The following is a 16,342-nucleotide window of genomic DNA, read 5'->3' on the forward strand; positions in this document are numbered from 1 at the left end:
GACAATCCAATGGAGAAAGAATAGTATTTTCAAGCCTGGATATCCACATGCAAAGAATAAATGCATATTCCTACCTTACATCAGGTACAAAAATTAACTCCACATGGATCATAGAAATAAACGTAAGAACTAAAACTATAAAATTCCTAGTAGAAAACATAGGAGTAAATCTTTATGATCTTGTATTGGGTAATTGTTTCCTAGATATGATACCAAAAGTATAAGTGACAACAGAAAAAAAGATAGATAAACTGAACTTTATTAAAAACTCTTGTGCTTCAAAGACACTATCAAGAAATTGGTGGTGGCTCATGCCTATAATCCCAGGACTTTGGGAGGCCAAGGCAGGAGGCTTGTTTGAGGGCAAAGTTTGAGAACATTCTGGGCAACATAGTAAAACCCTGTCTCTCAAGAGAAAAAAATTAACCAGGTGTGTTGATGCACACCTGTAGTCGTAGCTACTCAAGAGGCCGAAGCAGGAGGATTGCTTGAGCCCAGGAGTTTGAAACCAGCCTGGGCAATATAGTGAGACCTTGTCTCTACTAAAAATTAAAAAGAATTAGCCAGGCATGGTAGTATGTGCCTGTGGTCCTAGCTACTCAGGAGGCTGAGGCAGGAGGATTGCTTGAGCCCAGGAGTTCAAAGTTGCAGTAAACTATAATCACACCGCTTTCACTCCAGCCTGGATGACAGAGTGATGCCCTGACTCTAAAAAACAAAGTTGAAAAGATTTGCAGATTACATATCTAACAAAGATCTAGTATCCAGAATACATAAGAAATTCTTAACTCAATAGTGAAAAGACAACCAAAAAACTGGGCAAAGGAATTCAATACACATCTGTCCAAAGAAGATATACACAGGGCCAATAAGTATATGAAAAGATGATCAACATATTAGTCATCAAGAAACGCAAATCAAAACCACAATGAGACACCACTTCACATCCAAATAAGATGGCTAAAGTAAAAACTGCAGACAATAACAAGCATTGACGAGGATGTGGAGAAATTCAACCATCATGCATTCCTGGTGGGAATGTAAAATTGTGTATGCATTTTTAAAAACATTTTAGCAGTTTATCAACATGTTAAACATAGAGTTAACAATAAAATAGCAAAAATCGTTTTCCTTTAAGAAATAAGTAACAGCCTGGACTCAATTTTTCTTACACAACTTTAAAGATTAGAAAATAGTGAAGCGACTACTTCAAAGTTAAAAAGAAAGTTTCTGACTCCAAAATTCCATACCCAGCTAAGGTTGCAGAACTGATATCCACATCTTTCCTCAGAAATGTGCTCTAGGCCATCAACAAAAAGATTTTTTTTAATCCTTCAAAGATGGAAGTCACGACATAAAAATTTGACAAAGGGAATCAAAATTGTTTACTCAAACAACTCTAAATAATTGTTATAAATTTCATTCATCTGTCACATGTAATTCTCAAAAATGAAAACATTTCATGTAAAAGACAGCCCAGTGACAGTATGAGAGAAAAAAGATACACAGGAGCTAGAAGGAAAAGTAAAAGAAAATAAGTGTGCCAATCAACTCAATTTATATAAGAAAAATCAGTATGTTTCATTCTTGACGTTGATATTTAAACAATGTGTGTTCTTTTCTTGTCTAAGAAAAAAGAGTCACCATAATTGAATCAATAAGCGATAAATGAAAAGCCATGTATGAAATTGAAAATGTTGTTGAAGAATTATTTCTCACAAGTTTCCAGCCACAGACATTTTCACAGGCTGGGTTTTCAGACTGTCATGGAACAGATGATTTCCATGCTAGATAAGTGTTTCCAGAGAACACAAAAAGGTGGCATGTTTCCCAATAATTCATTTCCCAAAGCCAGCATGTCCTAGAGACACAAGCAAAGACAGACTAAAAAGGGAACTAGACGCAGATGTCTTTTATGAATACAGATGCAAAAATGATATGTGAAATAAAGAGAAAAAAGGACTATGCTTATGTCAATAGATGCTAAAAAGACATTTGCTAAAACTTATAATAAACTAGGAAAGAAAAATGCTTCTTTAACATGATTAAAAACACCTACTCAAAGCCAGTAGCCAATACCTACCTAACAATAAATACCTAACAGTAAATCTGGTAGCATTCTCACTGAAACAATGGAAAAGACAAGGCAGCTTACTGTGGCCAGCATGCCCTCAGATCCACAACAAAATAAAAGGAGGGAAAACTCTCTCCCTATATATATAATACACACACACTCACACACACACACACACACACACATTCACATATAATTTTTGAAAAGGAAGGTGAAATTTTGACATTATTCAAATTTGATATCATCGCTTACCTAAGAAAAATAATGTAAAATTATACTAATTTTTAAAAAAATTTTAATAGGAACATAAAAAGCAGTCGTTTTCCTACATATCAGCATTAACAGTTAGAGAAACAATGGGAAAAGAATTCTATTCACAATTTTAAAACTGAGTACCTGGAAATTAATCTTACAAGAAGTCTGTCAGGCTCAAATAATTAAATCCATAAGCCCAAGAGAGCACCATAGAAAATATTTGAACAAATGGAGAAATACAGTATATTCCATATCTAAAAAGAAATATTAAGAAGATGTACGTTTTTGCCAAACTAATTTATGAATTTGATGCAACTCAAACTTCCAATAGAATTTTGTAAGCAAAATTGATTATAAATGTTGTCTAGAAAAATGAAAAGCAAAAAAAAGCAAGGAAATTTTTTAAAAATAATAACATGGATGCGTATAGGATACTTCAGGCTGAAATAAAGTGGCAATAAGTAAATGGGTGAAGTACTAGGGCAAAAATACACACAGTGATCACTAGACTAGAACAGAGACCCAGAAACATGCCCAGTATATACCAGCAGTCAGCCTAGACAGTCATCCCTGGATCCCCACGAGGGACTGGTTTCAGGACTCCCTGCAGGTACCAAAATCTGAGAATGCTCAAGTCCTGATATAAAACGGTGCTGTATTTGGATAAAGTCTACACACATCCTCTCATATACTTCAAGTCATCTCCAGATTACCTGTAATAGCTAATACAACGCAAATCCCACGTCAATAGTTGTCATTAGAGTGTATCGGTTTTATTTGTATTAGTTTTTGTTGTGCTGTTTTTTTTTTCCTGAATATTTTCCATCTATGGTGATTGAATTGCAGGTGTGGAAGCTGCAGATAGGAAGATCAACCTTAACACTGTTTGGCACTCACATCTGCGGGAGGCCGAGCAGAGACCCAGAGCCCAGGTCTCACAGCCAGGCCGTCCAGAGGGAGCCCTGTTTCCATCATCGAGCAGCTGTGTGACCCTGAGCAAGTTCCTTAACTTGGCTTTGCTTTACATTTCTTCGCCAGTCAAATAAAGATAATAATATCTCTCTTACTGGGTGGTTGTGAGGATTATATAAGTTAATAGATGAAAAGCCCTAAAAAGAAGGCCTGCACATATTAAGTTCTATAGAAGAATGTATTAAAGAAAACAACTAAGTTGGGTTAGAAAAATTAGTTAATTGGGAGGACAATAAATCGGCTCCATTCATGCTCGCACTACACACCCTGATGGAATACCAGGTTCAGCTACAAAATAGAATTACTAAATAATAATAGAGAGCAGATAAAACACGTGATCTTGCAGCAGTGACGTGTTTTGAATATGACGGGGTGTGGGGAGATTCGGGGATGGGGAAACACAAAGCTCTGGGAAATCAAGAAAAGCAGCAATTCCTAGAGTCAGTTGCCCTCGTAACACAGCCAGGAGAGCTCAGTCTATGTTTAAGCTAAATATGATAGAGTGTAACATCTATACAAATGTAAGGGGAAAATCAACAGGTCTGGGTAAAAATAATTTCTGGAATAAGATAAGGTATTCCTGCATTCTCAGTCTTTAGTCTATGAAAACCGTCAGAAAATAAAAACGGGAAAACTAAAATGCCTCCCAAGAATGCCATCCTTTTTTTTTTAACATTAAAAACATTCTCTAAGGAATAGAGTTTCCTCATTACTGCTGTGAAATCCACATGAATACTAAAGAATGTATGTTTTCTCCAAAAAGAGTGTGTGCCTGAACATAAGATTACCACGCACGCTGCGATGAGCTGGGAACACCATCTCATCTCTGCACAGAGCCGCCGTTTCAAAGACGCAAGAGCTGGGAATCTCAGCAAATCAAATTGCACAACATGAAGCGCTGTCTCTATCGCGCGGTTAGCTTACTGCTATCATTTGTGGGAAATACGAGGCGCTAAAATTCTGACACCACATTCCTTGCAGAGCCTTGCAACGGGAAGAAGAAATGGCACGGCGTGAACCCAGTCTCTCAAATGAGTCGGCCAAACCTTGACAATTGATCTAGCGCCACTGCAGTTTATCCCACAAAAGCCTTACCCTAAGTCCAGCGGATCCCCACGCAATCTGAGAGTGCCAGGCAGGCCCCATTATTCCAGGACCACAAAGGGAGCCCGTGCCCTTGGCGAGGACTCCAGGGCTCTAAAGATGACTGGATAGCAGCAGCTGTCACAAAGCCTGTTCCTAGGCATAACAGAAATTGGAAAAGTTTGTTTCCAGTGCCTCTGCACACTCCCCACCCCACCCTTCAACACCGCCTTCCATCGTTCCCCTCCACCCCCTTGCGTGCAGCAGTTTTTGCTGTACCTAAAAGGACTTGTTTTGCAAGTGAAGACTTGCCGCCAGGAGAAGGACGCTGCCATGACAGGCGCTTTACACACGTGTTCTAATCACAGCTATCCTGAAAGACAAACTATGTTCGCATCCTCATTTTACAGAGAAAGACATGAAACCTCTATGAGTGAAGAATTTGCCAAAAGGGGCCCTGCCTCAGCCCCCTGGGCCCTGCCATACTCCAGGAGAGACGGTCAGCACCCTGGGTCCTGGGCAGCCATGGAGGGAGGCCACACACCTTCCGAGGCATCCAGTGCCACCACAGACACAGCGCCTTCTCCTCTGCCCAGACCTGCCCCCTGCTTGGGGCTTTTGGACCCTCTCCCCACATCCAGTGTGCCTACTGTGTTCTCTCCTCGGGAGGACCCTGTTGTCTGCTAAGGTCACAATGACACCCAGTGTGGAGGCAACGTGGGTGGCTGGTGACTCTTTCCTCATGCCACACGCTCAGCACGCTTCCAGGGAGCCCTTGATGGGTGGGCCCAGCGCTGTTCCCACGGCACCAAGAGAGACAAGGTCTCCACCAATACAGCGTGAGCAGGGAGGGGGCAGACGAGGAAGGACAGTTCTGTGTCCCAGCATCAGTGACTGGGTTTTAGATAAGTAGGTCTAGGTCTCCTCTGGCCTCTTCCACCCTCTTATGTATAGATCCATACCAAATTGTTTAAATGCCCTGACTCTTCATCTGTAAAATAGGGCAATGACCGCCCACACTGCTCCTGCTGCCTCTTCTCAACAAGGGGGTTGTGCAGATCCGAGAGGGAAGCCGCACACAGGAAGGTTGTTGAGATGGGAGAGGGAGACCGCGCAGCTTACAGGTAGATGCTGCTTCTGAAGCTGCTGGCGGATTGGGGTGCGCGTCACAAGGTGGAGTTTGCTTTTAGAACCCAAATGACAAAGATCTCTGAGTTATAAGCACCTCTCACCTCAACCAGCAGCAGCAGAGGGGGCTGAGTGGTCATCACAGGGTCTCCTAGGAACACAGAGACGACCTGGCCTGGCCCTGTCCACTTACTGCCGGTGAGACCCTGGCCATGTCACTTAATGTCTGGCAAACTCACTTTTCTCACCTGTAAAATGGGTTCCTAGCCCTGCCTCGCCTGCTTGCTGGGTGGTGAGGATCACAGCCTGGACTGGGAGATGGGTGGGGCGTGCATGAATAGGCAGAGAGGAAATGAAAGGCTGCTCCAGCTTGCCCAAGGGCCAGAGACGGTCCATGCTTGGTGTGCTGGAGTTGGGGCTGAGAGAGAGACAGTGTTATTTTCCTGGAGATAGGACTTCTTATTTCGCTGGAGTACCCAGCTTTGGACAGGAAATCACTTGTTCATTGTTATCAGCCTGGGAGAGGAAATAAGGGCCCACATCTCTGCACTGCTTGCCCTGGAATGTGATTTATTGGAAACACTGGATAACTCATAGATGATAAAAACAACTGAAATGAGGCCCTGGAAGCTGCTCTGGCCTGAGCTCAGCGCAGCCCTGAGGCAGCAGCCGGGCAGGGAAGCCTGAGAGCTGCTGGGGCCGCAGGGACTCGGCCACGTCCAGCCACACAAAACAAACCAAACGTTTCGGGCGATCCTGGGGCAGCATCCTTTCCTCATCCTGCCTGGGCCAGGAGCCTGGGGCTACGAAGTCGTAAAGACTTACCCAGTGCATTCTGTCCAGAATCAGGGGCCCCTCTCAAGAGAAAATACAGCATCACAAAAGTCCACACGGAGGCACATTGGCGGCTGTCATGCTTTGTTGATCCCCGTGACAGATGCTGAAACACCAGCTAGTAAAATGGACACTTTGGGGCTGACATCTGCTGCTGTGCCTGTAATGAGCACTTCCTGTATGCAGGCAGCTGGGTGCCAGGCACAGGAAATCTACACAGGCCACAGAATAATTTGATTTGGGCTTTCTACGGAGTGCGCGCCGTCTCTGAGCTTTCGTGATTTCATCTTCCGGAAGGCGAAAATCATCCCTCTGCTGAATTGGGTTTTGATTTGCTGGTGTTCACCTGACAGGACGCATCTCCCGCGAAGAAGCAGTGTTTGACTCCGTGCTGCAGGGTTGTTTTGTCTCCGAAATGCAAACCAGCTACTTTTTTAATCCCATGGAGACCGTCCAGACACCAGACATTACTATATCCCTGGAATTATTCCCTGGGCAGCCGCAAATGAAGCTGGGAAGAACTGCAGTGGAGGGTGGAGGACGGAGGGTGGAGGGTGGAGGGTGGAGGGTGGGAGGTGGGTGACTGGGAGCATTTCCTGTGGTGGAGGAGCTGATCACACGTACAGGAAGGGAACACCTGGAGCCCTGGCTGGCAACCCTGTCCAGACTGCACTCAGCATCCACAGCAGCACGCACAGGGCAGCAGGAGTGCTTCCTCAGTGCAGAGAGCACCAGAGCTGCCCCACCTTCTCCTAGCCATCTGCAACTACTGGCCCCCAAGGAGAATTAAGAAGAACTCAGAGGAGCTAAACTCACCAAGATTGAGCCAAAGTCCTCAGGACACGCCAGAAGAGCCTCCATTAGCTCTGTCCCAGATCCATCCTAAGGGAACAGTGCAGAGGCAAGAGGCAAAGGGCCAAGATGAGGCCCCAGCACCTTCTTCTTGAACATGTGGGGGCCAGGAGACAAGAGCCACACCCTCACCCCAGCCTGGTCTGCAGGGTCTGTCCTCCCTGCTTGGTTCTTCCCTAAGGCAACTCACAAAGCCACTGCAGACAGCAGGACTGCAGTTTTTGAGCCAAAAGTTGAGACACAGGTTTTGACAATTTAAAAAAAGATTTTTCTCATTAGTAAATATATTTGAGATGTTAGAAAGAGGTTTCACAAATCATATTAATTTATATGTGAATTAATATATTTTGTTAAATAACCTCTCCCTGGGTCCCTCCCACAACATGTGGGAATTCTGGGAGATACAATTCAAGTTGAGATTCGGGTGGGGACACAGCCAAACCGTATCACATGACCAAGGCAGATGAGACCCTGCTCGAAGTTGATGTTTCAGTTGGGGTGCCAGGAGGGCACTGGGAGACACACGAGAATGCAAGAGAAGACCACCTTTGCCCTGGTTTAAACATATATCTATATAACATAAACTTAGGATCTTAAGTGTGGAGTGCAGCAGGGCTGGCTCTACACACACTACTGGAACTTTTCATCCGGCAAATCTGAAACTAGGGATCCATTAAACAACCCCCAGAAACACCCTTCCCCCACTGCCCTGGCACCCACCATTCTACTTTATGTTGCTAAGAGTTTAACTATGCCAGGGACCTCACAGGAAGTGGAATTCCACAGTATTTGTCCTTCTGTGACGAATGACTTCGCCTGCACCACTTAGCGTGATGTCCGCAAGGTTTATCCGGGCCATAGCATGTCAGGGGAAACATCACTTTCAGGCCAGAAAATGACAGAAGCTGTGAGGATGACAGAATAAGCTGATCTGATTAAGGAGTCATGGGAGCCGGGCACAGTGGCTCACATCTGTAATCCCAGCACTTTGGGAGGTCAAGGCGGGCAGACTGCTTGCCTCCAAGAGTTCATGACCAGCCTGGGCAATAGGGTGAAACCCCATCTCTACAAACAATTTAAAAATTAGCTGGTTTCAGGCCAGGTGAGGTGGCTCACGTCTGTAATCCCAGCACTTTGGGAGGTCGAGACAGGCGGATCATGAGGTCAGGAGATCAAGACAATTCTGGCTAACACGGTGAAACCTCATCTCTACTAAAAATACAAAAAGTTAGCCAGGCATGGTGGTGTGCGCCTGTAGTCCCAGCTACTCAGGAGGCTGAGGTAGGAGAGTTGCTTGAACCCGGGAGGTGGAGGTTACAGTGAGCCAAGATCGCACCACTGCACTCCAGCCTGGGTGACAGAGTGAGACTCTGTCTAAAAAAAAAAAAAAAATAGCTGGTTTCCAGCTTCATCCATGTCCCTGCACAGGAACAGAAAACCGAACACCCCATGTTCTCACTCATAAGTGGGAGTTGAACAATGAGAACACATGGACACAGGGAGGGGAACATCACACACTGGGGCCCGTCAGGGGGTGGGAGGCAAGGGGAGGGAGAGCATTAGGACAAATACCTAATGCATGCGGGGCTTAAAACCTAGATGACGGGATGATGGGTGCAGCAAACCACCATGGCACATGCATACCCATGTAACAAACCTGCACGTTCTGCACATGTAATCCAGAACTTAAAGTAAATTTAAAAAAAAAAAGAATATCTGGACATATTACGACTGAATCCAGTGCCTTTCAGGTTTCATTTTTCAATATAAATAATGACTAACATTAAAAAAAATTAGCTAGGCATGGTGGCACGCACCTGTAGTCCCAGCTACCTGGGAGCCTGAAGCAGGAGGATCACTTGAGCCCAGAAGGCTTAGGCTGCACTGAGCCGTGATCTTACCACTGCACCCCAGCCTGGGTGACAGAGTGAAACCATGTCTGGAAAAAAAAAAAAAAAAAAAGAGCGAATGGGCTGTATTCATTTTCTGTGGCTGCCATAACCACATGCTCAGCAGCTGAAACTGCACGAGTGTGTTATCCTACCATTTCTAGGGGTCCCCAGTCTGCCAGCTGCCTTCCTTCTAGAGGCCCTGGGGGTGTCTGTTTCCAGCTTGTGTGGGTCGTTGGCAGAATTCAGCTCCTGTAGCTGCAGGACGGAGGTTCCCTTGCTGAGGGATGCTTTCTGCTCCTGTGAACCCCATTCCTCAGCTCTCGGCCCCTTCCTCCACCACCAAAGCCAGCAACAGCCGTCCATGCATCTCATGTGGACCCACGCTGCTTCTTCCTCCCGCCTCTCCCTTCCACATCTAAGAACATTTGTAATTATGCTGGGCCCCCACAGGTAAACCAGGAAAGCTTAAACTTTGTAACCTCCATTCCTTCTGCAAAGCCCCTGTTGCCACAAAGCATAACATACTCACAGGTGCCAGCAACTGGGGCACGGACGTCTTTAGGGCTGTAATTCTGCTCCTGAAGGGGCTGCCTCAGATCCGGGGGCACAGAAGCTCTCCTGCAGATTCTGTGATATTTAAACTGAGACGTGGGTGTCAAGACAGAGTTTGCCACATGCAGAACCAGGGAAAGCCATTCCTGCAAAGCTATGGCAAGTGCCACATCCCTAGGGCAGGGATAAACTTGGTGGTGAAGGGGACAGGGGGACAAGGACTGAGGTGGGCAGGGACCTGGACCCCAGAGAAGGGCCTTGGGTTTACTGTGCAATCAGAAACCATTAAAGGTTTCAAGCACAAATGACATGATCTGATTTATATTTTTAAAAGATCATTCTGTTATTTGACATTTGAAATGATATTTGAGACGTGCTGTGAAAGCACAGGTAGGCTTTAGACAGATGAAGAGGGGAGACGTGGGTGTCAGGTGCACAGAGCTCGGACACAGCCTGGAGGCAGGAAGTGGACAGAGAGGGGTGGAGCACCAGGCCCCAGGGTGCAAGAGAAAACCCAGCTGGAGGGACCCCGGGGGCGGAAGCCCGAGCTGCAGGGACCCCGGGGAGGTTAAGTGGGGAAGCGGGAGGGACCCTGGGGGAGGAGAACTGGAGGGAACCTAGAGCAGGGAAAGCTGGAGGGACCCTGGAGGGAGAGAGCTTGAAGGACCCTGGGGGAGGAGAGCTGGAAGGACCCTGGGTGGTGGTGAGCTGGAGAGACCCTGGTGTGTGGGCAGAACCGTAGGTGGGGGCCTTCAGTGGGGCACCGGTGCAGGCCGAGGGTCTGCAGGGATGTTTCAGGCAAGGGGCAGGAGCTGGTGTCCATCCCACTGGCTCCTTATGGGGGCAATCAGTGGTGCCGAAACTCCCAGCTGGCAGCTTCCTTGCATCATCATTAGATGCCATTAAAGAATCAGTCACAGGAAGTTACAAAGGGACCCTTGGTGAGAGGTCAGCTCCAGCGCTGCGGGGCCCACAGGAGGACCAGCTTGGGGCTCACAGCTCACGCTCTGCACAGCCGTTCTCTGCTTAACCAGAGAATTCAGCGGGAACTCGTTAACATGGAATTTTGAGGAAGTAAACAATGCCCCGTCTCTTCCCCCAGCCCTTCCCTTTTTATTTTTCATATTTCCAACACGGAGGAGAGTTCACCTCAGAATGTCTGTGGTCCCCTCCGCCCTGGGGGCCGTGTCTGGGGAGACAGGGGCCCAGTGCTAGAGGACAGGGCTGGACACACTCCCCAGCGAGGGAGACAGAGCCCGAAGACTTTCAGCTCTGACCAGGGAGTCCCCGAGATGGGACAGCCCAGGCATGTGTGGGCCTAACCTGGGGCCAGGACCTGGGCTTTTGCCTTTGGTGTCAGCAACACAACATGGCACGTGCAACTTTCCACCCGTTAGCAATCACAAGTGTGTGTCCCAGGCTGGAACTGAGTATGGTGGGACTTGTCAAAATGGTAAAAGGGAAACCAGAGAGAAAACAGCAGAGAGAGATGAAAAACTCAGCCTCTTTAAATTCTGTCCTTTCCGTGGGTGGTCAGTGCCAACGTCACTGCTGTGACGGCCGCCCTGGGAATTAATCCAGTGTGCTCAGAGGTACCTGCCAGCCGGCTCCCGGTGCCTGCCGGATCTGGAGAGAAGAATAAAATATAAAACCCTCCACTGTGATCCGCAGACTTTCCTATATTCCAATAGCTGTTTAAACCTGAAATTAAACGAGTGAGCTGGTGAACGGCAGCGTCTTCGGGGGGCTTAGCACCTGTCTAGCACGGGAGCACTCGCTGTGCAGTGTTTATCTTTCTTATTAAATCAAAGGAAGGATGGAGAGACCACAGACCCTCTCAGCAGACAAAGGGATATTTTAACCCCTGCCTTTCCTTCTAAATATGCAGATGACAACCACAGCCCAGACACAGCACCCTTGGCAGAGGACTCGAGGACTTCACTCTGCCAGCCCCGGGCGGCCCTACCCAGGCCTGCTTTCCAGGAAATTGGGGTTTGCCTGCCCTGCCTAGGCTGTGAAGAGTATGCCCCAGGCAGATCCTGGATTCCACTTCAACCCCGCAAATCCACACCCCACCCTCACACTTCCCATGGCCCCCCGGCCCAGAGGGGAGTGGAAGAGTGGAAGCACCTGTCCCTGTGCAGGGAGGAAGCAGGGTCAGGGGACCCTCAGAGCCTGGCCGATCATCCCGTGAATGGGCACACCTGGTCCTACCATCCCATCCACCTGAGCAGAACTGCCGTCTCTTTGGAAGGGAAAGTGGGGAGGTAACAATTGGGCAGCTAATCAGTGACATCCGCTGACCACGAGGGAGTGAACTTCCCATCGCGAAGCGATGGGTCAGAGCTGACCTGTCATTGGCTACAGCATGGCAGTGCCACTCCCTCTCACACACCTGCCGCTTTGTTATCCAAGGGCACCCATGACACTCACCAGCCACACTGGTGTCCCCTTGCCCTCAGAGTCCCACTGTCCTCGGCAGAGTCCCTGAGCTCACATAGCTGAGCTCAAACGGCGAATCCTGAAATCCTGAGGTCCTGAGCTGTGGCCCATTTCTATCTTTTCTTTCCACTTCTAAGAAGGAAGTCGTGTCTGGATCCTTCCTGCATTGCTGGTGGGAATGTGAAATTGTGTCACCATGGAAGCCAGTATCGCGGCTCCTCAAAAACCAAACATGAGTGTTGTTCTGATCACCAATCCCACTTCTGGGAATTTTTGAAAGAGAACTGAAATCAGGGTCTCAAACAGACATCTGCACTCCGCGTTCATAGCAGCATATTAACAACAGCCAAAAGGTGTCGACGGCCCAAGTGTCGTCAGTGTGTGAACAGATAAGCAACACGTGGCATAGACACACAGTGGAATATTATTCAGCTTCAGAAAAGGAAGGGAAATCTGACATGTGCTACACCAGGGATGAAGCTTGAGGACATCATGCTAAGTGAAATAAACCAGACCCCAAAGGACAAATACTGTGTGATTCCACTTACATGCAGTACCCACATACTCAGATTCATAGAGACAGAAAGTGGAAGGGTGGGTGCCAGGGGCTGGGGGAGGGGGAAGCATGAGGACTTCGTGTTGAGTGGGGACAGAGTTCCAATTTTGCAAGATGAAAAAACCCTGGAAATGGATAGTTGCAATGTTTGCACAGCACCATGAACATGCTTAATGCCACTGAACTGTACGCTTAAAAAAGTCAAAATGGAAAATCGTATGTTATGTATATTATGCCACAATAAAAGTATGTACCAGAAAAAGAAAGCCAGGTATGGTCAGGTTGTTGAGCAACTTTGGACAAGCTTCAGGTTTCTTCTGCAGAAAATGGGTGAGAGTCACCATTAGCTTACAGCCTACTGAGAAAAGCATGTGGCATCCCATGTGGAAAGTCACTTTTTGAGCAGGAGCTGTAAGGTTGTTAGTTGCTGTCCAATACCATTAAGTGGCCCAGGTGGGAGGGAAGGTAACAGCCAAGCCAGCAGTGCCCAATCTGCTGCCAGCTCCCAGTGGCCAGCTGGACACCCTGCCGGGATGACTCCACCACCAGCTCCCTTCCTGCTGGCAGCTGCCACGGGGCAGTTGGTGACAAAGGAGCCCGCTGAGGCACAGTGGCAGCTTCTGCACTTCACAGCCAGATGGAAAAATGCAACCACAGTGGGGCGTGAAGGGCACCATGTTCAGGGAACTTTAAAAAAGAAAACCTGACCAGGGTGGGCATAGCGATGGCCAAGAAGCACATGAGAAGACGCTCGACATCATCACCGATGGCCAAGAAGCACAAGGTGCCAACATCATCACCGATGGCCAAGAAGCACACAAGAAGATGCTTGACATCATCACCAATGGCCAACAAGCACGAGAAGGTGCTCAACATAATCACCGATGGCCAGCAAGCACACAAGAAGATGCTTGACATCATCACCAATGGCCAACAAGCACACGAGAAGGTGCTCGACATAATCACCGATGGCCAACAAGCACACTAGAAGATTCTTGACATCATTAGCCATCAGGGAAAGGCAAATCCAATCACGGAGAAACTCCACTTCACACCCACTCGGATGGCTATTAGCAAAAAAAGAGGAAAACAACAAGTGTTGGCAAGGACAACGGGAAACTGGAACCCTCATATGCTACTGGTGGGAATGTAAAATGGCACTGCCACTTTGGAAAACAGTTTGGCACATTTTTTTCATGACAATAATTTTATTTTATTTTTATTTTTTTAACTTTTTATTTCCATCAGTTTTGGGGGAACAGGTGGTATTTGGTTACATGAGTAAGTTTTTAATCTTTTTTTTTTTTTTTGAGACATAGTCTTGCTCTGTCACCCAGGCTGGAGTTAAGCAGCACGATCTCGGCTCACTGCAATCTCTGCCTCCTAGGTTCAAGCGATTCTCCTGTCTCAGCCTCCTAAGTAGCTGGGATTACAGGTGCCTGCCACCATGCCCGGCTAATTTTTGTATTTTTAGTAGAGATAGGGTTTCACCATGTTTGCCAAGCTGGTCTCGAACTCCTGATCTCAGGTTATCTGCCCACCTCTGCCTCCCAAAGTGCTGGGATTACAGGCATGAGCCACCACGCCCAGCTGAGTAAGTTCTTTGGTGGTGATTTGTGAGATTCTGATGCATCCATCATCAGAGCAGTAAACACTGAACCCAATTTGTGGTCTTTTATCCCTCATCCCCATCTCACCATTTCCCCTGCAAGTCCCCTAAGTCCATCGTATCCTTGTTATACCTTTACATCCTCATAGCTTGGCTCCCACTTATGAGTGAGAACATACAATGTTTGGTTTTCCATTCCTGAGTTACTTCACTTAGAATAATAGTCTCCAATCTCATCCAGGTCTCTGCAAATGTCGTTAATTCATTCCTTTTTATGGCTGAGTAGTATTCCATCATAAATATATATATATATGTATATGTATATGTATATATGTGTATATATGTATATATATGTATATGTGTATATATGTGTGTGTGTGTGTATATATATGTATATATACATACACAGTTTCTTTATCCACTCGTTGATTGATGGGCATTTGGGCTGTCTCCACTATTTTGCAATTGCGAATTGTGCTGCTGTAAACACGCGTGTGCAAGTATCTTTTTCGTATGATGACTTCTTTTCCTCTGGGTAGATACCCCGTAGTGGGATTGCTGGATCAAAACGATTTTCAGCATAGCTACCACATGACTCAGCAGTTCAGCTCCTAGGTATGTGCTCACGAGAAATGAAGGTGTATGTCCAGACAGACTCTCACACACAGATGTCCATAGCAGCATTATTCACAACAGCCAAAAAGTGAAAACAATCCAAATGGCCATCAAGTGGTGATGTGGTAAACAGGATGTGGTATATCTATGAAATGGAACATTAATTGACTATAAAAAAGAAGGAAATGCTGACATCCACTACCACGTGGATAAACCTTGAAAACACTGCATTATCTGAAAGAAGCAGACACAAAAGAAGACATAGTGGGTCATTTAATTTATTTCAAGTGTCAAAAAAAAAAAAAACAAATCGCGAGAGACCAAACGTGGATTAGTAATTACCTAAGAGTTAGGTGCTGTGGCTCACATCTGTAATCCCAGCACTTTGGGGAGGCCAAGGCAGAAGGATCACTTTGGGGAGGCCAAGGCAGGAGTTTGAAACCAGCCTGGGCAACCTCACATCTACAAAAAATATAAAAATTAGCTGGGCATGGTGGTGTGTGCCTGCCTATGGTCCCAGCTACTAGGGGGGCTGAGGCAGGAGGATCACCTGAGCCCAGCGAGGTCAAGGCTGCAGTGAACCATGATTAACCCACTGCACTCCAGCCTGGGCGACAGAGGGAGACTCTGTCTCAAAACTAATAATAATTACCTAGGACTGGGTGTCAGAATGAGGCGTCATCACAGGGTGACTGCAGGTCCCAAAATTAGAGGGTGGTGATGGTTGTGCCCTCTTTAAACAGCCTAAAGTTCATTGAACTGTACACTTAAAACAGGTGACTTTTATGGCATGTAAATTACATCCCCATAAGGCTGGGTTTGTTGTTGTTGCTGTTGTCTTTGTTGTTGTTTTGAGATGGAGTCTCGCCCTGTTGCCAGACTGGAGTGCAGTGGCGCAATCTCGGCCCACTGCAACCTCCGACTTCCTGGTTCAAGCAATTCTTCTGCCTCAGCCTCCCAAGTAGCTGGGATTACAGGCACGCACCACCACACCAGGCTAATTTTTGTATTTTTAGTAGAGACTGCGTTTCACCATGCTGGCCGGGATGATCTCGATCTCCTGACCTCGTGATCTGCCCGCCTCGGCCTCCCAAAGTGCTGGGATTACAGGCGTGAGCCACCACGCCTGGCCACGGCTGTTTTTTAACAGCAGCAATCTGAATGCAGCAGCCAGTATTGAAGCTGCACATTGATTGAATTTTGTCCAGGTAATGCAATCAGCTTTATTCCTCTTTTGTCTTCCTGTCCTCTCCCCGTGGCTCCCACCCATTTTGAGACGGACGGATCCGAGGACAAAGGCTTAGTTGCTATGCATGCAAACATCCATTAATGTTCACTGGGGGCGCTTTCCTTTGCTTTTACCGTGAATATTTCTTGTGAACTAAATCAGGATATTTTACCAAACAAACGCAAATCAAGCTACAAGTTATACTTCTTTTTTTTCTATTTTTGTTTCTTTATGAAAACTTGAGAAAAAT

General features: G+C 46.7%; 2 long non-coding RNA genes across 3 annotated transcripts in view, besides 1 other annotated feature; both read right to left on the reverse strand.

Annotated features, from left to right (window-relative positions):
* Window positions 1-5,128, reverse strand: part of LINC01250 (long intergenic non-protein coding RNA 1250) — a 230,979-nt gene extending 225,851 nt beyond the window's left edge. The window contains exons 1-3 of the long non-coding RNA NR_110228.1: window positions 4,929-5,128; window positions 4,664-4,757; window positions 4,397-4,540 (exon numbers count right to left, since the gene is read on the reverse strand). This is a non-coding gene — a long non-coding RNA (long intergenic non-protein coding RNA 1250). The remainder of the gene's footprint in view (window positions 1-4,396; window positions 4,541-4,663; window positions 4,758-4,928) is intronic.
* Window positions 6,509-6,673: a silencer, noted in NCBI's record as "fragment chr2:3131179-3131343 (GRCh37/hg19 assembly coordinates)". NCBI's record gives its function as "represses an EF-1alpha promoter that drives an FKBP-Casp9 reporter gene in an ReSE screen in K562 erythroleukemia cells {active_cell/tissue: K562}" and the evidence as "EXISTENCE:reporter gene assay evidence [ECO:0000049][PMID:32094911]".
* Window positions 9,139-16,342, reverse strand: part of LOC107985840 (uncharacterized) — a 57,332-nt gene continuing 50,128 nt past the window's right edge. Inside the window, exons 3-4 of one of the 2 annotated variants that reach the window (XR_001739257.1) lie at window positions 9,620-11,268; window positions 9,139-9,345 (exon numbers count right to left, since the gene is read on the reverse strand). This is a non-coding gene — a long non-coding RNA (uncharacterized LOC107985840). Of the gene's footprint in view, window positions 9,346-9,521; window positions 11,269-16,342 lie in introns of those variants that run through there. The other variant, XR_007086194.1, reaches the window with a different exon arrangement.

The sequence above is a fragment of the Homo sapiens genome, chromosome 2, assembly GCF_000001405.40.
Source record: "Homo sapiens chromosome 2, GRCh38.p14 Primary Assembly".
In the NCBI taxonomy this organism is placed as follows: Eukaryota; Metazoa; Chordata; class Mammalia; order Primates; family Hominidae; genus Homo; species Homo sapiens.